At 52.1% G+C, this 26364-nt stretch overlaps 1 long non-coding RNA gene across 1 annotated transcript, besides 3 other annotated features; it reads right to left on the bottom strand.

Moving 5' to 3' along the window:
- Positions 4636–5279: an enhancer, noted in NCBI's record as "H3K27ac-H3K4me1 hESC enhancer chr4:3566841-3567484 (GRCh37/hg19 assembly coordinates)". NCBI's record gives its function as "activates a minimal SCP1, AML or CMV promoter by ChIP-STARR-seq in naive H9 embryonic stem cells {active_cell/tissue: H9 hESC(naive)}" and the evidence as "EXISTENCE:reporter gene assay evidence [ECO:0000049][PMID:30033119]".
- Positions 5280–5925: an enhancer, noted in NCBI's record as "H3K27ac-H3K4me1 hESC enhancer chr4:3566195-3566840 (GRCh37/hg19 assembly coordinates)". NCBI's record gives its function as "activates a minimal SCP1, AML or CMV promoter by ChIP-STARR-seq in naive H9 embryonic stem cells {active_cell/tissue: H9 hESC(naive)}" and the evidence as "EXISTENCE:reporter gene assay evidence [ECO:0000049][PMID:30033119]".
- Positions 5926–6571: an enhancer, noted in NCBI's record as "H3K27ac-H3K4me1 hESC enhancer chr4:3565549-3566194 (GRCh37/hg19 assembly coordinates)". NCBI's record gives its function as "activates a minimal SCP1, AML or CMV promoter by ChIP-STARR-seq in naive H9 embryonic stem cells {active_cell/tissue: H9 hESC(naive)}" and the evidence as "EXISTENCE:reporter gene assay evidence [ECO:0000049][PMID:30033119]".
- LOC124900650 (uncharacterized) lies at positions 21755–25957 on the bottom strand. The gene is made up of 2 exons (XR_007057995.1): positions 25470–25957; positions 21755–25298 (listed from the first exon to the last, which is right to left on the bottom strand). It is a non-coding gene; the product is annotated as an uncharacterized LOC124900650 (long non-coding RNA).
- Between the last annotated feature and the right edge of the window lie 407 nt (positions 25958–26364).

Genomic DNA, 26364 nt, shown 5'->3' with positions numbered 1-26364 from the left:
CCATCGCCTCTCCCACGTTGGCTGGATTGTTCCAGGAGGAAGTGCTCCCTCCTTCTAGGGCCGCCATGGACTATACTGTTCATCCAATGCTCTTCATCCTATGTCTCAAATTTGGCCGCCAGAGCCCCTTCCACCTGGCCTTTTTGGCCTGTTGAGGCATCCCCGTCTGTCCTCAAGTGCATCCGCCCTCCTGGCGCAACGCGATCCATACTCCGGCTCATCCTGTGCCCACCTCCACCAAGATCCAGACTTAGGCCCCACCGTGCCGCACAGCTTCGGAAACCACCCGTGTGCCTCTGTGCTTGGGTAGCACCCATGTTAGCTCCTTTCAGTGGTTAGAGACAGAAAATGGATGTTTTTTGAATTATGAGTTATTGCTGCCGCTTCCAGTCCAAGCACAAGCCCCCGGGAACCCTCTTTGTCTCCCGTTCCACATCCCTATCTCCCGCCTCCCAGCGAGAGAAAGAGTCCTGGTTCCAAGGAGGACCACCAAGCTGCTGGGGGTGACCAGCCCTTAATCCACAGACAGTGGTTTCAGACGACCACAGCAGCACTGCTGCTGCGACAAAGCCGGCCTGCGACGCGGAGCTGCGGGTCCCCACAGCCAGAGGCCCCTTCGAAAGCCGCTTCCATTCTTGTTTCCATCTGGTGTTGCTGTCAATTGTTTTAGGTTCATTGATTTCTGTTTGAATTCAATGCTCAATTTTTTTGTGCTTGTCAATTTAATTCTATTTCTGAACGTGTAAACATTTACGTGTTTCAAAAGTCAACACCTATGTAAAGGATTCTCTGACTTCTCACTCCACCCAGTCCTCCCACCTGGTGGTTATTTATGTGTGTGTGTAGTTTCTGTATGTAGTTTACATGTGTGTGTAACTCGTGTGTATGGTTTATATTGTGTGTACAGTTTGTGTGTGTGGTTTATGTGCATGTGTATAGTTTGCATATGTAGTTTATATGTGTGTAGTCTGTGTGTGTAGTTTATGTGCATATAGTTTGCATGTGTAGTTTATATGTGTGTAGTTTATGTGTGTATACTTTGTGTGTGTGGTTTATATGTGTGTGTGTAGTTTGTGTGTGTATCATTTATATGAATGGATAGTTTGTGTGTGAAGTTTATGTGTGTATAGTTTGTGTGTATGGTTTATATGGGTGTGTATAGTTTGCCTAGTTTGTATGTGTGTGTGTATAGTTCCTGTGTGCAGTTTATGTGTGTGTAGTTTGTGTGTGTGGTTTATATGTGTGTGTAGTTTGTGTGTGTATTGTTTATATGAATGTGTAGTTTGTGAAGTTTATGTGTGTGTAGGTTGTGTGTGTGGTTTATATGTGTGTGTAGAGTTTGTGTGTGTAGTTTGTGTGTGATTTATGTGTGTGTAGTTTATGTGTGTGTAGTTTGTGTGTGTGGTTTATATGTGTGTGTATAGCTTCTGTGTGTAGTTTATGTATGTGTAGTTTGTGTGTGTGGTTTATATGTGTATCATTTCTGTGTGTAGTTTACGTGTGTGTACTTTGTGTGTGGGGTTTATATGTGTGTGTATAGTTTGCATGTGTAGTTTATGTGTGTGTACTTTGTGTGTGTGATTTATATGTGTGTATAGTTTGTGTGTGCAGTTTACATGTATGTACTTTGTGTGTGTGGTTTATATGTGTGTATAGTTTGTGTGTGTAGTTTATGAAAGTGTAGTTTGTGTGTGGGGTTTACATGTGCGTGTAGTTTGTGTGTGTAGTTTATGTGTTTGTGTATAGTGTGTGTATGTGGTTTATATGTGTGTGTGGTTCGTGTGTACTTTATGTGTGTGTACTTTGTGTGTGTGGTTTATTTGTGTGTGTATAGTTTGTGTGTGCAGTTTACAGGTGTATACTTTGTGTGATTTATATGTGTGTGTATAGTTTGTGTGTGCAGTTTACATGTGTGTACTTTGTGTGTGTGGTTTATATGTGTGTATAGTTTGTGTGTGTAGTTTATGAATGTGTACTTTGAGTGTGTGGTTTATATGTGCATGTAGTTTGTGTGTGTAGTTTATGTGTTTGTGTATAGTTTGTGTATGTGGTTTGTATGTGTGTGTGGTTTGTGTGTAGCTTATGTGTGTGCACTTTGTGTGTATACTTTGTGTGTGCAGTTTACATGTGTGTACTTTGCGTGTGTGGTTTATATGTGTATGTAGTTTGTGTGTGTAGTTTATGTGTTTGTGTATAGTTTGTGTATGTGGTTTATATGTGTGTGTGTAGTTTGTGTATAGTTTATGTGTGTGTATTTGTGTGTGTGGTTTATATGTATGTGTATGGTTTGTGTGTGTACTTTGTGTGTGTGGTTTATATGTGTGTGTGGTTTGTGTGTATAGTTTGTGTGTACTTTGTGTTTTTATATGTGTGAACAGTTTGTGTGTGTAGTTTATATGTGTGTGTGGTTTGTGTGTGTAGTTTGTGTGTGAATAGTTTGTGTATCATTTATATGTATGTGTAGTTTGTGTGTGAAGTTTACGTGTGTGTAGTTTGTGTGTGTGGTTTATATGTGTATGTATAGTTTGTGTGTGTGGTTTATGTGTGTGTAGTTTGTGTGTGTGGTTTATGTGTGTGTGTTTTGTGTGTGTGGTCTATATCTGTGTGTAGTTTGTGTGTGTAGTTTGTGTGTAGTTCACAGGTGTAGGTGTAGTATGTGCCGTGTGTGTGCATGTGGGTGATTTGTGTGTGTATAGTGTGTAGTTTATATGTGCATGTATAGTGTGTGTATGATTTGTGTGTATAGGTTGTGTGTGTAGTTTATGTGTGTGTAATTTACATATGCATGTGTAGTGTGTCTGCCTGTGTGATTTCTGTGTGTAGTTTATATATGCGTGTGTAGTGAAGGAATGTGTGATTTTTGTGTGTATAGTTGACGTGTGTGGTGTGTGTGCGTGTATAGGATTTGTGTGTGTGTGGTTTACATGTGCGTGTATGGTGTGTGCCGTGATTTACGTGTGTGTGTACAATGTGTGTGATTTGTGTGTGTGTGGTTTATGTGTGTATGTGGTGTGTGTGATTTGTGTGTGTGGTCTCCATGTGCATGTGTGGTGTGTCTGATGTGTGTGATTTGTGTGTGTGGCTTACATGTGCGTGTGTGGTGTGCGTGATTGTGTGTGTGGTTTACATGTGCATGTGTGGTGTGTCTGATGTGTGTGGTTTGTGTGTGCGGTTTAAGTGTGTGTGTAGTGTGTGTGATTTGTATGTGGTTTACATGTGCATGTATGGTGCATGTGTGTGATTGTGTGTGGTTTACATGTGCCTGTGTGGTGTATCTGATGTGTGTGGTTTGTGTGTGTGGTTTACGTGTGTGTGGTGTGTGATTGTGTGTGTGGTTTACATGTGCGTGTGTGGTGCGTCTGAGTGTGTGATTTGTGTGTGTGGCTTATGTGTGTGTGTGATTTGTGTGTGTGGTTTGCATGTGCATGTGTGGTGTGTGTGTGTGTCCCCTTACACCCCCTTCTCACCCACCTGCAGGCGGCCTCGGCGCTGCACCTGCCACACTGAGCAGCCTGTCTGTCCTCCCGTGCTCCGACTCCCTGAGTTCTCCCCAGTCCCCCCAGGCCCCCCAGGCTCCCCACGGCCACATGATGCCCCGCGCTGTGGCTGTTCCCGTTTGCACAGCCCTGCCTGGTGAATGAGCACTCAGGTCGTTCCCACTGTCTCGCTGTGACAAATGAGGCTGTGCTGCATCCCTCAAGCATGCACTGTTCCCTATTTGCAGAGGTGTCACCTCGGGGGAAATTCCTAGAAATGGAATCGCTGGGTCAAGGGGCAAAGCCAGTGTAATTTTGTTAGCTACTGCCACCTTCCGCTCCCTCGGGTGAAGGACAGTTTCCCTCCTAGTGTCTGAGGGAGCCAGTTTCCCACGGCCTCCTCCACCGCAGTCGCGCTTTTGAATCTCTGCCAGTCTGATATGTGAGAAACTGCATCTCCGCATAGCTTGTATTTGCATTTCTTTACTACGAGCCTCTTTCCCTATGTTTCAGAGCCATTTGTTATCTTGTTCTACACACTCTGTCCATGGATTTTACCTACTTCTCTGTAGAGTTTCCGGGTTTTTCCCATTGGCTTGAGTGAGCCACGCACACAGGGAACCAGAGGCAAAGGGGACGTGAGACCTGCCCACGGGAGGATCAAGGAGGTGACTGCCCCACAGACGGCCTGGGGAAGCCCACCCAGCTGGGAGACAGTGGGCGCGTCGCCTTGGCTCTGGAAGCAGTGGGAAAAGCAGAAAAAGGTCACCCCAGGAAATTCCAGTCACAAGCCCACCTCAGGGGCAGTGTGGCCAGAACTCACGCTCACTAGATGACTGGAAAAACCCCAGGCCAAAAATTTAGTTTGAGGGAGTCCTGGCAACCCAAGCTTCTGGGAGAAGCAAAGGCGAAACCTTTCCAGAGAAAGGCGTTGGAAACCTGGACCTCAGAGAATCCTCGCAGATGGGGGTCCGGGGAACGCAGCCTTGCCACCTTACAAGTTACCCACACGCAGGAGAAAATCTGCCCTCCCCAGGACAGGAGCCCCCCGCAACGGCGTCTGGGAAACGTCAGGTCCACTCTGCCAGCCACAAGGCCCCTGGAAGCAGCGTGGCCTGGGTGCAAAGCAACCGACACCTCACCCGCGCCCCTGGGCCTCCTGAGGAAAGAAAGCCCCAGGTCCCCAGAGTGCCTGTGCGGCCCCTCATCTCCGTGCATGACAGCCCCTTTGGCTGTGACCTGGGGGAAAGAAATTGAATCCCATCATTTGGGACTTTCACTTAAAACTCAAAGTTCTGAGCTTTGGCTTTTAAATGGTGAGGGCAAGAAAATGCATTTTCACTTTAAAGTCTAGCAACTGTAATTGGCAAGGGCGTTTGACCTACAGATTTCTTCGATCAAGTAATACAGGAATGGAAGAGCCCCCCACGTTTGGGCCCCTGTGTGTCACAGTCTTGCCGTCGCCATGGCACAGCTGCAATGTCGCGTGACTGTGCAGTGGAGACCGCGTGGGGCCGCCGTGTGTCACAGTCTTGCCTTCACCATGGCACAGCTGCAATGTCGCGTGCCTGTGCAGTGGACACCGTGTGGGGCCGCCGTGTGTCACAGTCTTGCCATTGCCACGGCAGTGCTGCAATGTCGTGTGACTGTGCAGTGGACACTGCGTGCGGCCGCCGTGTGTCACAGTCTTGCCATCACCACAGCAGTGCTGCAATGTCACGTGACTGTGCAGTGGACACCGCGTGGGGCCGCCGTGTGTCACAGTCTTGCCGTTGCCACGGTGGAGCTGCAATGTCACGTGACTGTGCAGTGGAGACCGCATGCGGCCGCCGTGTGTCACAGTCTTGCCGTCACCATGGCACAGCTGCAATGTCGCGTGACTGTGCAGTGGACACCGCGTGGGGCCGCCGTCACAGTCTTGCCGTCACCATGGCACAGCTGCAATGTCGCGTGACTGTGCAGTGGAGACCGCGTGGGGCCGCCGTGTGTCACAGTCTTGCCATTGCCACGGCAGTGCTGCAATGTCATGTGACTGTGCAGTGGACACCGCGTGCGGCCGCCGTGTGTCACAGTCTTTCCGTCGCCACAGCAGTGCTGCAATGTCACGTGACTGTGCAGTGGACACCGCGTGGGGCCGCCGTGTGTCACAGTCTTGCCGTCACCATGGCACAGCTGCAATGTCGCGTGCCTGTGCAGTGGACACCGTGTGGGGCCGCCGTGTGTCACAGTCTTGCCATTGCCACGGCAGTGCTGCAATGTCGTGTGACTGTGCAGTGGACACCGCGTGCGGCCGCCGTGTGTCACAGTCTTGCCGTCACCACGGCAGTGCTGCAATGTCGCGTGACTGTGCAGTGGACACCGCGTGGGGCCGCCGTGTGTCACAGTCTTGCCATTGCCACGGCAGTGCCGCAATGTCGTGTGACTGTGCAGTGGACACCGCATGCGGCCGCCGTGTGTCACAGTCTTGCCGTCACCATGGCACAGCTGCAATGTCATGTGACTGTGCAGTGGACACCGCGTGGGGCCGCTGTGTGTCACAGTCTTGCCATTGCCATGGCAGTGCTGCAATGTCGTGTGACTGTGCAGTGGACACCGCATGCGGCCGCCGTGTGTCACAGTCTTGCCGTCACCATGGCACAGCTGCAATGTCATGTGACTGTGTAGTGGACACCGCGTGCGGCCGCCGTGTGTCACAGTCTTGCCCTCACCACAGCAGTGCTGCAATGTCACGTGACTGTGCAGTGGACACCGCGTGGGGCCGCCGTGTGTCACAGTCTTGCCGTCACCATGGCACAGCTGCAATGTCGCGTGACTGTGCAGTGGAGACCGTGTGGGGCTGCCGTGTGTCACAGTCTTGCAGTCACCATGGCACAGCTGCAATGTCGCATGACTGTGCAGTGGACACCGTGTGGGGCCGCCGTGTGTCACAGTCTTGCCATTGCCACGGCAGTGCTGCAATGTCGTGTGACTGTGCAGTGGACACCGCGTGCGGCCGCCGTGTGTCACAGTCTTGCCCTCACCATGGCACAGCTGCAATGTCGCATGACTGTGCAGTGGACACCGTGTGGGGCCGCCGTGTGTCACAGTCTTGCCATTGCCATGGCAGTGCTGCAATGTCGTGTGACTGTGCAGTGGACACCGTGTGCGGCCGCCGTGTGTCACAGTCTTGCTGTCACCACAGCAGTGCTGCAATGTCGTGTGACTGTGCAGTGGACACCGCGTGGGGCCGCCGTGTGTCACAGTCTTGCCATTGCCACGGCAGAGCTGCAATGTCACGTGACCATGCAGCTAGACACCGCGTGACCGTGCAGCTGGATACCACGTGGACGGCGGGTGGGAGGCATGAGTTCCAGCTTTGGCACAAACGAGCTTTGCATCAGTTTCATTAATCCTGTTGTAACTGCCCAGTGTGTTCACCTCGCCGGCTGCCTAGACACAGCCGAATTATCAAGACAGGGGAATTGCAAAGGAGAAGGAGTAACTCAACGCAGAGCCAGCTGTGCGGGAGACCAGAGTTTTATTATTACTCAAAAGGGTCTCCCCGAGCATTTGGGGATCAGAGTTTTTAAAGATAATTTGGCAGGTAGGGGCTCAGGAAGTGGGGAATGCCGGTTGGTCCGTTTGGAGATGGACTCATAGGGGGTCAAAGTGAGTTTTTCTTGCTGTCTTCTGTTCCTGGGTGGGATGGCGGAACTGGTTGAGTCAGATGACTGGTCTAGGTGGTGTCAGCTGATCCATGAGTGCGGGGTCTGCAGAATATCCCCAGCACTGATCTCAGGTTTTACAATAGTGAGGTGATCCCCAGAAGCAATCTGGGGAGGTTCAGACTCTCACAGCCGGAGGCCGCAAGACCCCTAAACCATAATTTCTAATCTTGCAGCTAATTTGTTAGTCCTACAAAGGCCGACTGGTCCTCAGGCAAGAAGGGGGTCTATTCGGGAAAGGGCTGTTATCAGTTTTGTTTCAGAGTCAAACCATGAACTGAATTCCTTCCCAAAGTTAGTTCGGCCTACGCCCAGGGATGAATAAGGACAGCTTAAAGGTTAGAAGGAATATGGAGTCGGTTAGGTCTGATTTCTTTCACTGTCATCATTTCCTCACTTATAATTTTTGCAAAGGCAGTTTCATGGGGGGTAAACCCAAACGGCCCCCTGCAGTCCTGGGAGTGGCTTCATGAAGGGGACCCCGACAGTTCTCCTCTCCCTAGGGGCGGCCCCCCAGCTGACCACAAGTGTGACCACGAGGCCCTTGGGTAGGGCAACAAAAGGCCGGGGAAGGTGGGGGTGTCCTCCCCAACTCCCGAGCCTCCTTCCACGTGGAGAAAACTGACTTCTCCGACCCCTGCCTCTCTCCCACCATTTGTCACCCACCCCCACGCAGGGAGGGGTTGGCAAATCCAGGCGGGGTCTGCAGGGCAGGCTGAGCTCACTCTCCGCTGCCACCTGCAGGGGTGGCCTGCTCTGCTGAACAGGTGGGGGCTCCCTGGAGGCTGGCCTGGGCTGCACCTTTGGGCAGGTGGCCCCTCCACTCTGGGGTTCAGGGAAGGCCCCCTTGGCCTTCACTCTGAGCCGCGTCCTCCGACCAGCCTCCATTGGGAATAACGGGCAGCCTGGCATCACAGCCTCTGTGGGCCCCTCCTCTGGGCTAAAGTATTACGAATGATGTTTCATAACTGCGTTTGTAGAAAGATGACTACAGCCCAGGCTGCACTGTGTTTATTCTGATTTTAGAAGGCATTAAACCACTTTCCTGACCCCTAAAAGTCTCCTGGGCCCTGGCACTAAGCCTGCTACACCCTGTGAAAGGAAAATCAATCTCAGGCCCCAAAATTACCAAGCCAAGGGAAGAGTCAAGCTAGGTACTGCTCAGGCAAACCTGCCTCCCAGTCCACTCCTGAATAAGATGGCTACAGAGACTAAAAAGCCACTACCTCCCTCAAAATTTGCCCATGAGGAAATTCCTCATAGACAAATGACAGACAGGACCCAACGCCATCCCTCTGCTCCCCTGAGACAAATCCATATCTGATGGCTTCCTCTGCCCTATTGTTGATATAAAAATACAGATTCCCTGAGCCAGACTAAATTGTGTTTCAGTGGGAAGCCGATCAAGGTCTCAAAAGAATGCAACAGTTTGTCTCTTACCTACTTATGACCTGGAAGTCCCCCACCCCCGCAAGTTGTCAAGCTGCCCCACCTTACCTGACCAAACAAACGTACATCTTACACATATTGATTGATGTCTCATGTCCCCCTAAAATGTACAAAAGAAAGCATGGTGGCTCACGCCTGTAATCCCAGCACTTTGGGAGACCAAGGCAGGTGGATGACGAGGTCAGGAGCTCGAGACCAGTCTGGCCAAGATGGTGAAACCCTGTCTCTACTAAAAATACAAAAACTTAGCCATGCATGGTACCATGCGCCTATATTCCCAGCTACTGGGGAGGCTGGGACAGAGAATTGCTTGAACCCGGGAGACGGAGGTTGCAGTGAGCCGAGATCGCACCACTGCACTCCAGCCTGAGCAACAGAGTGAGACTCTATCTCAATAAAATAAAATAACAAAAAAAAAAAAAAAAGCAAACTGTACCCTGACCACTTTGGGCACATGTCGTCAAGACCTCCTGAGGCTGTGTCACAGGCCCTTACTTCACCTTGGCAAAATAAGTGTTTTAAATTTATTGAGACCTGTCTCAGATATCTTTTGGTTTACAACCTGATGGAGGAGTTGGCACTGATAGAAGGGTTTTGGGTTTCCAGCACCTGCCTTCATGCCTTACTTCTCGGTGGGCTCAGGACTCAGAATGGAAAAGAGTCCCAGGAGACCCCAGTAGCTCTTCAACTCTTTTACTCTCGCTGTTTTCTCTCCTTTACAGCAGACACCACTATCTGCAAAGGGTCCTGTTCGCTGCTTCTGCCTGCCAGGAAGCACAGCCTAGAGGGCAGTGTCCATGACTGTCCTGAGTAACCACTGGGTCCCCAGCATCTCAGCTTCACAGCTGTTCCGTAATGACCTTCAGATGGAGGGACGAGGCGGGTGGGTGGGGGGATGGATGGATGGATGCATGGATGGGTGGATGGGTGGATAGGTGAGTGGGTGGGTGGATGGATGAGTGGGTGCATGGGCAGGTATGTGGATAGATGGAAGTATGGGTAGATGGATGGGTGGATGGATGGGTCAATACGTGGATGGGTGGGTGGGTGAATGGGTGGATGGATGGATGAATGGATGAGTAGATGGATGCATGAATGGATGGTTGGATGGATGGTGGATGGATGGGTGAGTAGGTGGATGGACAGATGGGGAATGGATGGATAGATGAACAAATAAGTGATGGATGGGTGGGTGTATGGATGGATGGGTGGGTGGATGGGTGGGTGGGTGGATGGGTGTGTGGGTGGATGGATGGATGTGTAGATGGGTGGATGGATAAGTGGATGGATGGGTGAATGGGTGGATAAGTAGATGAATGGGTGGGTGGAGAAATACATGAGTGTGTGGATGAATAGGTTACAGAGTAAAATGCCACCACCAGAGCAGTGCAACAGCGTGCTTTGCACTCAGCTCTGCCATGGAAAAAGTGGTTCCTTCCCAGGCTCTCACCAGGCTCACATGGGCTCCAGACCCCTGCACCCCCAACCAGACTGGGGACACAGGGACTGTCTGCTCAGATCTGCATCCATGCACCTGGCCAACACCAAGTGAGTCACAGGGAACCAGGTGGCCTGAGAGAAGGACCGATGACAGATGGCCTCACCCATGTCGCCAGGAGGCTTGGGTCCCAGTCCTGTGGCCCCACCAGCCAAGAGCTTGTGGACATTCAGAATCAGGCTTGCTGGTTTAAGCCCGGGCATGCAGCACCAACATTGTCTGCCCATGGGCTCTCTGGGTCGTGCCCTGCCTGACTCAGTCCCTGCATCACCAGTGCCAGGCCAGGCACAGACAGGCTCAGTGGGGTGGGCTAAGTAGTGCTGGGGACCCAAACCAGGCATCAGAGGGATTGAGATGCCCCCAGGCTGACTCCCACTCAAGCGGGTCCCCCCGCCTCCCCCCGAGCCCATCCCCTCTGTCCACCTGCTGCCACTCTGACAGCTACAACCAACCCAGGCTCGGGGCTGCCTGGACTCTGCCTACAACTTCACAGGCTCACTCCCATGCTGTCCTTCACACCTGGAGAAGTGCCAAGGTTACCAGTGCCACAGAACAAACAGCCGCATGCACTCTGCACCCTGCTCAGCCATTGAGACAGCAGATTCTGTAGCTTTGGGCAGTTCCCACATCCTTCCAGTCCTGATCTTTCCCCTGGAAGCCAAGGAGCATTCAGCGCCTTCTCTACGTGCTCTTGGCCCCTGTCCACAACAAAGGCCACAGGTCTCTTGTTGTGGAACTATGAGTGAACCCAGCGTTCTCCCCAGGGACCCCAGCACAAAACAAGCTCTCAACACACATGAGTGAATAAAATTGTCCCAGAAAGCGGGAGACTTTACACAGTGGCTACAATGTCCCTAGTACACTGCCACAGTCCAGAAGGGAGAGAAGGGGCTGTGCACACCAGGAAGCCAGAAGCCCACATGCACCTGCACAGGGTCTGTGCATGGAGCTCCGGCAGGTCCAATCTCTTGGCCTTCAGAATAATGATGTAAATACAGGCACAAACATGGAGCAGGCGCCACTCAATGTGCAAACCCTCCCCCTTCTTCTGGTGAGGCCAGAAGTACCTAGGTAGGAGCAGCCCCTACCTCCGACCACCTCCCTCCCTGCAGTGGGAATAGCAGCCCAATCCCCAGGCTGCAGGGATCCACAGGCTGTGCAAGTGTGGCTGTACCCCAGCATGCCCTGGTGCGAAGCTGTGCCCAGGGAGATGTTATCTGCACCCCAGACTGCCTGTGGTGCTGCAGAGTGGTGCCGAGGACGGAGCAGGGCACACCTGGAGTCTATATCACCTGCCTTCCCTAGGGAGTCTTGGGCCCTCTCCACATTCAAGGCGAGGGGAGCAGGGGATCTCCACGAAGACCCCCTGAGCACCTCCCTTCTCTTTTTGCTGATAAATAACCCAAGGCTTAAGGGGTTTTGGAACCAAGACATGGTCACTGATGTTAGAGGAATGGCTCGCTCTCCCTCCTAGCATCCCTACCAGGTAAGGGGGGGCAATTGGTTGCTCCAAGCACCCTGGTTGCTGTAGGAAGGAGAATGGAGACATCGGGCTGAGCCCACTGGCCTCCTTCAGCGCTCGGGCTCTCCCCTGCAGACAGCCTTCCTCAGCAGCCGCACAGCTCAGGGCTTCTCCTCCCTGGGTGCCAGTAACCCCAGGTAAGCCTCTGGCTGCCCGGCAATTCCAATACCCAGAGGGAGGAGCCAACAGGGCAGGCCACGTTCTCACCAAGCCATCTGCAGAGGGGTCAGGTCCACCCTGAGTCCTCCCTTCTCAGTAACAAGCTGCTACTGTGTTTTCCATTGTCCCACAGCTGATTTGTCAGTCAGTGCAATCACAGCGAGGACAAACACTAATGCCCCTCCTGAGACCTCTCTTCCGGCTGATGGTGTGGACCTTGACTCCACAGCAGGTGTCTGCAGGCCCTCCAGCTGGCCCTCGGTAGCCTGGAGTGGCTCATCCTGGACAGACTCACCGCTATGACGCAGGGGGAACTGCCAGGAGTCCCTGAGCGAGGTGATCTGAGAAATGCCATGGCAGTGTTCTAAGCCAGCAGCCTGGCTTACTCACAACCTCTCTGCTGTGTGACCTTGAGCAAGTGCCTTAACCTCTCTGAGCCTCAGCTTGCCCCTCTGTTAAAGAATGATCATATATGACACCTAACAACGTTATGTGGAGTATCAGCAACAAGGAATCCACTGCAGCCAGTGTTGCAGGTGCAACTGGCTGGGGCTGGTGTCACGGGTGGTAAAAGAATTTACCGAGACAGTCGTGGGTAAAGAAAGTCTGAAGACACCTTGCAAGAGAACAGCAGGCAGCATGGCAGAGAGAAGGCCACCTCCCCAGGGGCAGGGGCCAGGGGGAAGTTTGATAGGGTCACACTGGAGAGGCGACATGCAGACAGGGTCATGCTGGAGAGGCCACATGCAAACAGAGTCACACTGGAGAGGCCACATGTGGATACAGTCATGCTGGAGAGGCGACATGCAGACAGGGTCACTCTGGAGAGGCCACACGCAGACAGGGTCACGCTGGAGAGGCCCCACGCAGACAGGGTCACGCTGGAGAGGCCCCACGCAGACAGGGTCACGCTGGAGAGGCCCCACGCAGACAGGGTCACGCAGGAGAGGCCCCACGCAGACAGGGTCACGCTGGAGAGGCCCCACGCAGACAGGGTCACGCTGGAGAGGCCCCACGCAGACAGGGTCACGCTGGAGAGGCCCCACGCAGACAGGGTCACGCTGGAGAGGCCCCACGCAGACAGCATCACGCTGGAGAGGCCACATGCAGACAGGGTCACTCTGGAGAGGCCACATGCAGACAGGGTCACTCTGGAGAGGCCACATGCAGACAGGGTCATGCTGGAGAGGCTACATGTGGAAACGGTCACACTGGAGAGGCGACATGCAAACAGGGTCACGCTGGAGAGGCCACATGCAGACAGGGTCACGCTGGAGAGGCCCCATGCAGACAGGGTCATGCTGCTGGAGCTAACGTGCAGAGTGAGGTATTTGGTAACATGAGGTTGTGCAAGCGGGCTGCTTGTGGTTAGCCATTTCTTAGAACAACGGCTCTCCCCGACCCTAGTTCATGTTCTTGCCAGCTAGGGCCTGTGGTGCCATGGAGCTGTGCAGAGGAGGGAACCCCTTCCTCATTTCTATCAGCTGATCGGGACTCCACAGTTTGGTTTCGCTGCATATGACAATCCCAGCAAAAGAAGCATAAACAAGAAAGAAGCTGATTTCTTTCTGAAGGGAGAATCTGGGGATGACTGATTGAGGGTGAGGTGGCAGCTCCTCGATGTCCTCAGGGACCCAGATCCTGGCTGTCCTGCTCCTCGTCCTCCACGCATAGTGTCTAGCCTCAAAGCCACTCCATGGTCCAAGGTGGCTGCTGGTGCTCCAGCCATCAAGACCACAGGACAGGTGGAAGAAAGCTGGAAAAGTACAGGGCAGAAAAGGGCCCCTCCCAGAAGTCCCAGCTGAGTCAGCTTGTTTTTGAGCCATCTTCCTGGAAGTCTCCTACAGCACTTCTGCCTTTAACCCACTGGCCACGACTTAGCAGCTCGGCTCCACTTAGCCTCAGGGAGGAGGCTGGGAGATGCAGGTTTTCATTCTGGCCAGCTACATGCCCCACGACGCATCAGGGTTCTGCCTCCGCGGAGGAAGGGAAGAGGACCATGTCTGTACAAGGGGAGCTAGACCCACGATAAACATGAGCCACGCTAATGTTGTCAGCATCCCCAGAACAGCCGGCAACACAGCCTCACATCACACCCAACCTCCCGCCAGCCTCCAGCCCTGGGCAGCGTCCTCACTGCACCGCAGCCTAGAGAGGGAGCCAGAGTGCAAAAGGGACAGAAAGGGAGAGAACCGGAGGCCACGCTGACCCGAGCAGCCAGGGACAGAGGACAGACCCGGGAGGCAGATGGGAGTTCAGGGCAAGGAAAGTCTTGGGGGCTGCCTGGGGCGGGGGGAGGGAGATGTGGGGGGCAGAGGTAGGGGTGAGCTGCACCTGGGAGGGAACATGCACCCTCTTCCTAAGGAGACCCTGAGAGGCTCAGGGGAGACGGTAGCATGCAACAGCACCTGCTGCTCCCCTCTGCAGGAGGCCGACTCCACGGAGGACCATGCTCTGGCAGAGGAACCCAAATATGCATTTTTCCCACACCTCAGCCTCTCCTGGCCCCAAGGCAGGTACAGGCTCAGAGCTGGGGAACCGGCTGGAGATTTTCCTCTTTTTGCTGACTCTGCCCTGGCATATTCTGAGATACAGGGGTCAAGACTTCAACATATGAATTTGGGAGTCACAGTTCAACCCAGCATGCTATACAGATCTCAAGGGTGTCACTCAGGGAGTTGACAAAAGCGGACTCCACCAAGATAAGAACCTGACCACCCCCGAGATATGCGCTCATCAGTCCCCACTGCACCCCCTCCAGAGGCGACTTTTCATTGCAGATCAGCGTGACCTGTTCTAGAGCTTCCTACAGGCAGAGTCAGGCCGCACTGGCCCGCCCCAGCTCTCAGAGGCCGGCCATCACTGTGCACCCACACACCACCAGCTGTAACCCAGGCACAGGACCTCAAGGTGGGCTGGCTCAGCTGCCAACAGGAGCGAGTGGTGCTGAGGTCCTCCCAGGAGCCGTGGCCCAGCACCTCCTGGCCGGAACAACCATCCTATTCAAATAAACGAGTAACAAGAATGGGCACGCTCTCCACTTCCAAAAGCAATGCTGGCCGGGCGCAGTGGCTCACGCCTGAAATCCCAATGCCAGAGGCGTGTGAACCAGAGCAACTCCATCTTGAACAGGAGCTGGGTAAAATGAGGCTGAGACCTGCCGGGCTGCATTCCCAGGAGGTTAGGCATTCTAAGTCACAGGATGAGATAGGAGGTCGGCACAAGATACAGGTCATGAAGACCTTGCTCATAAAGGAGGTTGCAGTAAAGAAGCCGGCCAAAGCCCACCAAAACCAAGGCGGCCACGAGAGTGACCTCTGATTGTCCTCACGGCTCATTATATGCCAATTAGAATGCATTAGCTGCTAAAAGACACCCCCACCAGCACCATGACAGCTTACAGATGCCATGGCAATGTCTGGAGGTTACCTTATAAGGTCTCAAAAGGGAGGGGAGGAGACCTCAGATCCTCTTCATCCCTTTACTTTCCTGATAAACTTGCTCTCACTTTACTCCGTGAACTCGCTCCAAAGTCTTTCTCGCATGAGATCAAAGAGACCTCTCTTGGGGTCTGGATCAGAGCCCCCCCTTTTCCAGTAACACCAGCACTTTGTGGGAAAGACAGAGGCGGGAGGATTGAGTGAGGCCAGGAGTTCAAGATCAGCCTGGCCAACATAAGGAGACCTAAGTGTCTAACTTAAAAAAAAAAAAAAGGCCAGGCACAGTGGCTCACGCCCAATACTTTGGGAGACCAAGGTGGGCAGATCACTTGAGCCCAGCAGTTCGAGACCAGCCTGGACAACATCGTGAAACCTTGTCTCTACAAAAAAAAAAATAATAATAATACTAAGAAATTCCCGGGCACGATAGTGTGCACCTGTAGTCCCAGCTATTCAGAAGGCTGAGATGGGAGAATCGCTTGAGCCCAGGAGGTAGAAATTGCAGTGAGCTGAGATTGTGCCACTGCATTCCAGCCTGGGTGACAGAGGGAGACCCTCTCTCAAAAAAATAAAAAAAGAAACCCAGGCAGGCATGGTGGCATGCACCTATAGTCCCCAGCTGCTCCGGAGGCAGAGGCAGCAGAATTGCTCGAGTGCAGGCTGTAGGTCAAGGCTCTAGTGAGTTACGATTGTGCCACCGCACTCCAGCCTGCGTCACAGAGCAAGCTGCAGTCTTAAAAAATAAAAATAAAAAATAAAAGCAGTGCTATTCTCCTACAAATGAAGAAATCTCATCAGACAAATACTGCCACAAACCAGATGAAAATCATGATCTAATATTCCAACAAGAACTTCAGCTCCGAAGGGAGACTACAGCACAGAATAAGAACAGAGGAGAATAAGCACAGAATAAGAACGCAGGGAAGAGGTGGCCAAACGGCAGCGGAGTCTGTGGTAGGAAATGACAGAATTCAGGAAGGAAACTGAAGAAAAAGACAAAACCATTTCAGAAATGAAGAAATGAAGTTACAGGTAATACGAGAGCAGAGACACCACGAAAATCATGTAAAAAAGGAAAAAGTGAGCAAATGGAAAGAAAGAGGAAAGAGATTAAAAAGGATTAGAGAGAAAGTGACTATAAAAGACCAGTAAAGGGCCGGGCGCGGTGGCTCCCGCCTGTAATCCGAGCTCCGAGCTCTTTGGGAGGCAAGACAGTTGGATCACAAGGTCAGGAGTTCAAGACCAGCCTTGCCAAGATGGTGAAACCCCGTCTCTACTAAAAATACAAAAATTAGCCGGGCATGGTGATGTGTGCCTGTAATCCCAGCTACTCGGGAGGCTGAGGCAGGAGTATCACTTGAACCCAGGAGGCAGAGGTTGCAGTGAGCTGAGACTGTGCCATTACACTCCAGCCTGGCAACAGAGCGAGACTCTGTCTCAAAAAAAAAAAAAAAAAAAAAAAAAAAACAGTAAAGGGGCTCCAGCGTACACATACGATAGGCAAAACTAACAGATCAGAACAATTGACTACTTGATTTATGTGAGAGATGATCTCATATAAGCTAGCGTTGCCCAGGCTGGCCTTGAACTTCTGGCCTCCTGAGTAGCTGGGACCACAGGTGTGCACCACAGCACCTGATGAACAAGGATTGAAACTATCATTCAAGACCTCTTTTATTGAAATGCAGGCAGACTTGCGCCTGCCTGTAAAAGTGCATGCTGTATACTTGTGTGTGTTGGCCCAGAACAGTCAACACAAAACATGCCTTTGTAAAATCACTGGACTTTGAAGATAAAGAAATAATCCTTTAGGCAGCCAGACAGAAAGACCAAGTATCTTATAAAGCAAAGAAAACCAACTTGACATCAGACTTCTCCAAAGTGACATTCAATACCAGAAGAAAAAAGAAGCAATGCCTCCTTATCTAGAATTTGTGGGTAGAATTCTGTCCCCCAGAAAGATATGTTACACTTTGGGAAATTGAGGCAAGTGGATCACTTGAGATCAGGAGTTCGAGACCAGCCTGGCCAACATGGTGAAACCCTAGCTCTAATAAAAATACAAAAATTAGCCAGGCATGGTGGGGTGGGTGGGGGCGCCTGTAATTCTAGCTACTCAGGAGGCTGAGGCAAGAGAATTTCTTGAACCCAGGAGGTGGAGGTTGCAGTGAGCCGAGATCGCGCCACTGCACTCCAGCCTGTGCGACAGAGCAAGACTCTGTCTCAAAAAAATAATAAAAATTTTAAAAGATATGTTAAAGCCTCAACCCCTGGTACCTATGAATGCAACCGTTTTGGAAATAGGGCCTTTGCAGATATAATCAAGTGAAGTCGCAGTCACACCTGATTGGAGTGGGCCCTGATTCAATACAACTCACCTCCTTATAAGAAGACAAAAAAGGCCTGGTGTGGTGGCTCATGCCTGTAATCCCAGCACTTTGGGAGGCCAAGGTGAGTGGAGCACTTGAGGTCAGGAGTTCGAGACCAGCCTGGCCAACATGGTGAAATCCCATCTCTACTAAAAACACAAAAATTAGCCAGTCATGGTGGCGGGCACTTGTAATCCCAGCTCTTTGGGAGGCTGAGGCAGGAGAATGGCGTGAACCCGGGAGGCGGAGCATGCAGTGAGCAGAGATCATGCCACTGCACTCCAGCCTGGGCGACGGGGCAAGACTCTGTCTCAAAAAAAATAAAAAATAAAAAATAGAAGATGATTCGGCTTATGATTCTGGAGGATGGGAAGTCCAAGTTTGAGGGGCTGCATCTGGTGAGGGCCTTCCTGCTGTGTCATCACATGGCAGAAGGCATCACATGGCAAGAGAGTGTGAGAGAGTGAGAGAACACATGCCCAGCCTCGAGGCCTTTTGTTACCTGCATGGATCATCCATGGATCATCCTAAACACCTCCCCTTAGGCCCTACCTCCCAACACTGTTGCATTGAGGACTGAGTTTCCAACACGTGTTTTTAGAGGGACACATTCAAATCACAGCTTCCCCCCTCCACCACCCATTTTAATCCTGGGCTTTGCCTGGCTCCAATTCCTCTCTTATGTAAAGCAATGGATCAGACACACAGCCTTGGGGGATCTGTGAGAACTGAAGGGACTGGGGCCTCTCTCACACAGAACCCCAAAACCCTCCCATGCCTCCAGGACCCCCAGCAGGGAAGAACCCCACCTAACTCAGGGCCCAATCAGAGGCAGGGCCAAGGGTTATCCCTGCCCTCAGACTGGTTTTCCCAGGCTAGGGTCTGAGAACCCCGAGCAGCCAGTCCTTCTTCCCATGGGATGCGACTGGGCAGGGCCAGTGAAGGAACCCAGAGGCATGTTAGTCAAAGTGGGTTTCAGTCTCTGGGTGAGGGGTCCTGCATGGTGAGAAGCTGGGCCCACCTCCCACAGAGCCCACAGAACAGACTCAAACTCAGACACCAACAAGAAGATGCCAAGGCTGGGGAGGGCAGGCCCAGCCCGCAGAGTTCCTGCAAGGACTCTTCCCTGGCTGTGGTCGGAGCAGCTGCTCAGGAAATCCCTGGCAGCAGAGTGGGCACCCCCTCCGGGCACCAGGAGGAGAGGTGTGCAGGGGGGATTCCGGGGCAGCCATTGGGATTTGAGACTAGCCTGGACACCCACATCCACTTCTCCCCTACCAGGCGTTTCTCCCATCAGGGAAGAGGAATGCTCAGATGGGCCCAGAGGCCATGCAGAAAGAAGGAGGCCTCCCCGGGGGCTGAGAAGGCAGTGATGGGAGGCCGGCCCCAGGCTTGGGGTGTGGGTGGTTTCAATTGGAAAACTTTTATAATAAAAAATTGGAAGAAAGAATGTAATTCCCTCTACAAAAATATGTCCTCGTGATGCCACGTACCCACCTATACCCACCTGACCCCAGGCGCCTCCTTCCACAGCCAGCCACTGCAAAGGAGGCCAGGGAATGCGTCTTCCTGGTGCCCACGAAGGAGACACAGAGCTGGAGGGCATGGGGACCCAAGGTTCCAGGCTTCGGAAGGGAAAGCGTCCACAGCGACCCCACAGTAAGGACAGCCTCTGATGGCAGCCCCCACTGGCCAAACTACATCCCCCTGGGCAGAGTGCACCGGGCCTGGCTTCCCTCCATGCTGGTTCCAACTCACAGCCGGGGTGAGGCCAGGGCGAGGCCAGGTCCCCCCTCACGGGGAAGGCTCCCTGGGTGCTTCCCTGGTCAGGGCTGTGCATTCTGGTCACCAGTCCCTCCCTGACCCCAGTGACTCTGGCTAGGCCTCCACCCCTGCCCAGACCCACCCCACCACAGAAGACCCTGATCTACCATTCACTCTTTTTTAAATATTTTATTTTTTCAGAGACAGGGTCTCACTGTGTTTCCCAGGCTAGAATATAGCGGCTGTTCACAAGCATGATCATAGCTCACTGCAGCCTGGAATCTCTGGCCTAAAGCAATCCTCCTGACTCAGCCTCCTGAGTAGCTACAGAGCCACAGGCCACACCCGGCTCTCAGCATTCCCTCTTTTACTTTATTTTATTTATTTATTTATTTATTTATTTATTTATTTATTTATTTATTTATTTTGAGGTGGAGTTTCACTCTTGTCACCCAGGCTGGAGTGCAATGGTGGGATCTCGGCTCACTGCAACCTTTGCCTCCCAGATTCAAGTGATTCTCCTGCCTCAGCCTCCCCAGTAGCTGGGATTACAGGCACCTGCCACCACGTCCAGCTAATTTTTGTATTTTTTTTTTTTAGTAGAGATGGGGTTTTGCCATTTAGGCCAGGCTGGTCTTGAACTCCTGACCTCAAGTGATCCGCCCACCTCAGCTTCCCAAAGTGCTGGGATTACAGGCATGAGCCACCATGCCTGGCCGGCTTTCCCTCTTGAGCACATGCATGTAGGCAGGAATCCCAGCCCCCTTTGCAGATGAGCAAACTGAGGCACAGAGAGGTTCAGCCACCTGCGAAGGTTGCACAGCCAGGATCCACCGCCTTCTCGCAGCACCCACCCTCTTCCCAAGGAGTGCCCAGTTCAGCAAGGCAAGTGACACCAATCCCAACTGGGCAGCCAGGTTTTATGAGGCCAGGACAAACAGCACTGATTTGAAGCCTCGTAGAAGGGTTCAAATCACAGGCCCTGCCACAGGCTGGCCTCAGGGTCCTGGGGGAGCTGTGGGCATGCTTCTGAGCCGTAGCTCCTCTATCCACCCAAGGGAGCTGGTAGCACTGGCCTTAAGAGTGTGCTGTGAGCCCGGGGGGTTGCAGGTGGGCATTGAATGATTCCTACCACCCCACAAATACTACTCTGCCCCTCCAACGGGGGCAACCCCTCATGGCCTGCCTCGGCAGCCTGGAAGTTACACTCTATTGCATCACCCCCAGGAAGATGGAGAGAGGCCCCCAGGACCTCATGAGGGTGGTTTTCTGCGTAATGAGATGCCTTGGATATTCCTAGAGGTCCGAGCCTAGGCCTCTGTCAGCACATCAGTGAATGCAGCCCTGCTGGACAAGCTCAGGAGGACTCCAGGATCCCGAGTGACACATTCCACATCCACACAGGCAGACCGGGGCCTGCAATTACAGATGGGAGGTCCCAAGGTCAAGGCGGGGGCTCCCACATGTTCCCAGGAAAGCACCAGGCAGGGAGGGTGGTGGGCAGCAGTTCTGGGCTCTGCTCCTCCCCAGGCCCCATTTCTTCATCTGTAAAATGGGGAGAAAATATTTTCCCTTCCTAACTGCATTGGAAAGACGAGATAAGCAGCCGACTGGGGAAGGTGGAACTTCCCACTCATGCAATATTGGGCGAAATAAGTGGGTTCAGAGACTGAGCAGTGGTGCTGGCCCCAGACACTGGTGTGGATGCAACACGTCGCAGGACTCAGCCCGTCGAACCCCTGCCCGCCGCTGCACTGATGCCTCCTTCCCCCTCAAAGAGCCCTGATGCCCGGCCATCCTGATGGCGGGAGCTCCTCTAGGCCTCCACAGCCGTGGTCCAAACGAACCCTGCACTCCACACCAGGGCTCCTCACCACTGGGGCACCCTGGGCTGCCCTCGGGGCTGGCACTCTCTACATCCCGGCATCCAGCACCGCCCCCTGCTGAGGGCTCGGCCAATGTTTCCTGAATGAATGAGTGGCCCCTGGATGTGAGCATGGGTCACACACCTCACGGTGATTGGGTGGGGGTTTCTCATGAGTAGAGGGACCCCCACATGCCAGGGCTGCGCTGAGCAGGGACGTCAGTGACTCCCTCTCTGAAGGCGGCCATCTGAGGCAGGACTCTAGGAGCCTCTGTCACACCCGGCAGTGCACAGGATGATTCAGAGAGAGGCTGTCCCAAGGCCTCCCGGCTCACTGGTCGCAGTCTTCCCGGTCCTCCCGCCACCCTCCACACAGCACCACTGCCACCCACATCCCTGCTGGGCAGGAGAGGGGGTCGGGAGGGCAGACACAGGGCAGTGGGCGAGTCTGATCCAGGTTTTGTGAGGCCTCCCTATAAAGAAAAGAATACAAACTTACAAAAACAAAATTAGGTATGACAGTGAATATTTCTTTAGGATGAGGAAAAAAAAAAAGCAAACATACAAAATCCAGAAAACCAACATCGTGTTTTTACGAAGGGCCTGCTCCATCTCCATAACACTTCTTCCTGCACTTTTTGGCTGCGTACTTTTTATCTATCTCATTGTTTGAGAATTTTACATCACCTACGATAGAAGGAATAGAAACATAATTGCTCTTCCTCCAGCATGGCTGATTGAAATTTGTTTTTTCTTATTTATAATTAGAACACATAGAACAGATGACTTAACACATGTGCACACAGCTTTGCAGTACAGCTAGAGGTCTGTGTACATTAAACAACAAGTTCTGATCAATTCTATTTACAAGATTCCTGTTTGCGAAAGGAAGCAGGCCAGGCATAGTGGCTCCCACCTGTAATGCCAGTACTTTGGGAGCCCAAGGTGGGCGGATCACTTGAGCGCAGGAGTTTAAGACCAGCCTGGCCAACATGGTGAGATCCTGTGTCTACCAAAAAAAAAAAAAAAATAGCTGGATGTGTAGTTCCAGCTACTCAGGAGGCTGAGGTGGAAGGATTGCTTGAGCCTGGGAGGTTGAGGCTGCAGTGAGCTGTGACTGCCCTACTGCGCTGCAGCCTGGGCGACAGAGCAAGTCCCTATATCAAAAAAAAAGAGGAAGCAGCAATGCTGGGTGCACATTTATAATTGTATACGATGCATTTATCAACAGACCATTTCTGCTCTGGCGAGGCCCTGATGAGAGCTGAATACTCTGCTTACAATGGCACACGCCCGAGGACCGTCAGAGAGTCCACCGGGCGCTTGGGCTCCGTGTGTTTCAGACCAGCCTGGCCAACATGGTAAAATCTGCATCCATGTGCAGTGCAGAGCATGGCAGGGTGCATTCTCCTCCTCACCGTCTCTCCCAAGCACCTTCAGGTCGTGATGCCGAAGAAACCATCTATGCCCAGGTCTTAATCCATAAAGGTGCCTAACAGAGGTCAGCGCTATTGAAAGGAAAGTCTAACATCGCTCTGGAAACATTCGCTAGAAATGAGAGACATGGCAGGCCCCGCAGGGCGGCAGGGGGAAGCCGCAGGCAGACCAGGAGGCAGAAAGGAGCGAGGGAAAGGCCAAGCCACAGCCTCTGTTGGCTTCCTGGGAAAGCCGGGCAGAGCAGGGGAGACAGCTTGGGACGGGCTGATTTGTCTGATTCTGGGTTCCGGGGCTGTCCCTTGTGGTCTGGTTCTGGGCCTGGGTTGACACTGGGCAGGGAAATATTGGCTGGGGGTACAGAAGATGAATGAAGTGGTTTGGAGCAGGGGCTCTGGGCAGGAGGGGAGGTGCCAACAGCCCTGGTCAGGAGGTTGGCCCTGTCATCATGACCGCAAGTAGTCAAACGCAGGATCTAAGGAGGCACAAATCAAGGACGAAGCCAGCAGGAAGGTCAGTGGGGATGAGGGGGACTTGGGGTCTTTCTTCCTCTGCCTCCTTCCCCTTCCCACACGGGAGGGTAAATTGTGTTCTTCTGTGAAAGTCACAAGAACTCTCAGACACCCAGAGAGAGTTCATACACAAACACAGGAAAAGACACAAGTCGTATGACCATCTCAACAGATGCAGCCGAGTGTTTGATGACACTCACTGTCTGTTCTTAAGGAAAAGCTCAGCCCTCTGGGAAGAAAAGACCCGTTGTTAAGCTGATGAAGGCCATCTATGGAAAAAGTCAGAGCTGCCAACACAGCTAACAGGAAAATGTTGAAAGCTTTCTTTACAAGATTGGCAAGGGGACAAAGACACCTATTGGTGCCGCTGCTATTCAATATCAGCCTGGATGTGGCAGACTGCACAGTGAGTTGGGTAAAGTTTGTGAAGAAGAAAACAAAACTGTCTTTATTCACAGATGATATGGTTGTGTATGCAGAAGAGTCTACATAATCCACAGGGAAATTCTGAGGATTCAGAGGAGTTTAGCAAAGTTGTTGGGTTCAAAATCCATAGGCAACATTCCATTTTCTTACTATATATTAGCAACAATGTTGGAAAAATAAAATTTATAAAAAGACATAATAGCACAAAATATCAAGAATCTAAGAATAATGTACAAGGTCACTATACAGAAATGTTATTAGCAGGCATTAAAGATGGTCTAAACAAATGGAGATACCATGTTCATGGATTAGAAGACTCAAAATGAATTCTTCCCAAATTAATTAATTTTTTCCAAATTGATTTGTAGAACTAAAGAAATTGCTATCCAAATCCTAACCAGGTTTTTGTGGAACTTAAAATACTTACTCTAAAATTTGTGTTGTTTTCGTTTTTGATTTTTTTTTTTTCTTTTTCTTCTTCTTCTTATATTGAGACGGGGTTTCTCTATGTTTTCCAGGCTGGTCTCAAACTCCTGGGCTCAAGCCATCTGCCCGCCTCAGCCTCTCAAAGTGCTTGGATTACAGGCATGAAGCACTTCATCCAGACTAAAATTTGTATGGAAATACAAATTCAATTTGACAAATATTTGGCCAGGCATGGTGGCTCATGTCTATAATCCCAGCACGCTGGGAGGCTGAGGCGGGTGGATCACTTGAGGTCAGGAGTTCGTGACCAGCCTGGCCAACATGGTGAAACCCCGTCTCTACTAAAAATACAAAAATTAGCCTGAAATCACTTGAACCCAGGAGGCGAAGGCTGCAGTGAGCCAAGATTGTGCCACTGTACTCCAGCCTGGGCAAGAGAGAGAGACTGCATCTCAAAAAGAAAAAATAATAAATAAAAAATATTTCTTGAGCCCCTTAGTCCAGGGACTGCTTCTGGTACTTGGGATGCCTCTAAGAACCCCACCCACAAAGACCCTTCTTCGTAGACCTTAGCAGGAGAGACACACAGTAAAGAGTAAACACAATACATAAGCAAAGTACCCAGTATGGCAGGAGGTCATAAGTGTTTTGCAAAAAACCAAGACTACAGAGGGGAGGGTCACCAGGACATCTAGGGGCAGAGGTGGGGTGAGAATCCAACCTTCCACACAGGCCATCTCTGCGACCCATCTCTGTGACCCCAACAAGAGGCCCCTCGCCGGCCATCCCCGTTCCAGCTTCTGATGTCCTGATGTAGAAGCGTCTCCTCTGCAGCTCTGAGGTGAGAGGCCAAGCCCTCCGTGACCCCAAAAGGCCAGGGCTCCCCAAGTGTTATCCACAAACACCCCTGTGGGGACGGCAGGCTCCTACAAGGCGCCCTTGCACAGGTCTCTTGCAGAGCTTCTCCACCCACTCTCTGGGCCCTGACACAGTGGGAGGGTGCCTGTCCTTACCCCAGCCGGATGTCCCACCACACTCCTGCCTGGGGACTTCTGGCACGCAGGAGAGGCTGGACACACAGATGCAGAGAGGCTTGCCCCAACGCCATTGCCCGTTTTACCTTGAAGTTCGTGGTTCTTTAATTCTTGTTCCAAACTGTGAGTCAACCTTTAAAATATATGATATTGAAGTTCTCCTTCAGCCTCCGGTCTTTCATCACAGTTAAATCCAGAGATTTCACGAGCAGTAGATAAATCTGCAGTAGAGAAAAGTGCTCCAAAGGTGGGCGCGCCAGGCTCCCATTTGGAGCTGTTTATAAATGCTTTTATGTAGACCCCTCCTAGATGACGAGGAATGGCCTCAGAGCAACCCTGGGAAGGATGAGGAGGGGTCCGGGGACTCCAGACGAAATCGCACAGCCACCTACCGTGTGAGTGGAAACCCATGCTGCTTCTGCCTGGCCTCTAGGATCCGCGTTCAGGGGAAGCCGTGTCCCTGGGGTCATGAGACGTGATTGTTCAGACCAATGGATGAGGCTGAGCAGAATCATTTCATTTCCCCCGCACTTGCCAAGGGCAGGGACTTTCCCGTTTGTCCCTGCCTGATATGCAGGAAGGACTCAGAACTACTTAAGAACAAATCAATGAACCTATGGCTTTATGGCAAATACCACAGAAACAACCTTAGAAATGGGCTGAGGAGGCTGTCTGGCCTCTAACAAATGACCTCATCTCTCTGAACCTTAATTTCCTCATCAGTAAAGTGGCAGTGCAGCCCCTCCCTCACAGGACGCTCCATGGCAGAGTGCAGCCCTGCCGTGCAGCAGCCGGTATGACCTCATCCTTGTGATCAGGAGGGCCCTGCTGAACTGTTTCCGCCCCGCAGGTGCCTACGAAGCCCGGGAAATGATGTGGCCTTCCTGGAGCCATGCAACAGCACTGTTGTCACCAGGAAAAGGGCCTGTGGCACCCGCCTGGCCACTCACGTCCTAAATGAGACAGGCCCTCTTCATCGGCCTCAGTGGCTCATTGAGATGAGGACTTGGGAATTTTGCTGTTTCACAGAGCAACTGAGCGCCCAGGTGGCTGCCCCAGCAGACCCTGGAGACGTTTCAGGAGACCTGCCAGGGACCTAAGCCTCTGCCACTGCACCAGGCCCTGGCCAGAGGGCTGGGCTCAGAGCTCTTTATTTTTTTATTTTTATTTTTTATTTTTTAGAGACAGAGTATTGCCCTGTCTCCCAGGCTGGAGCACAGCAGTTGAAACCATACCTCACTGCAGCCTCGATCTCCCAGGCTTAAATGATTCTCCTGCCTCAGCCTC

This window comes from Homo sapiens, chromosome 4 (assembly GCF_000001405.40).
Source record: "Homo sapiens chromosome 4, GRCh38.p14 Primary Assembly".
NCBI classification, from domain to species: Eukaryota; Metazoa; Chordata; class Mammalia; order Primates; family Hominidae; genus Homo; species Homo sapiens.
The sequence above is the reverse complement of the archived record's forward strand: the minus strand, read 5'-3'. Positions and strand labels throughout refer to the sequence as shown.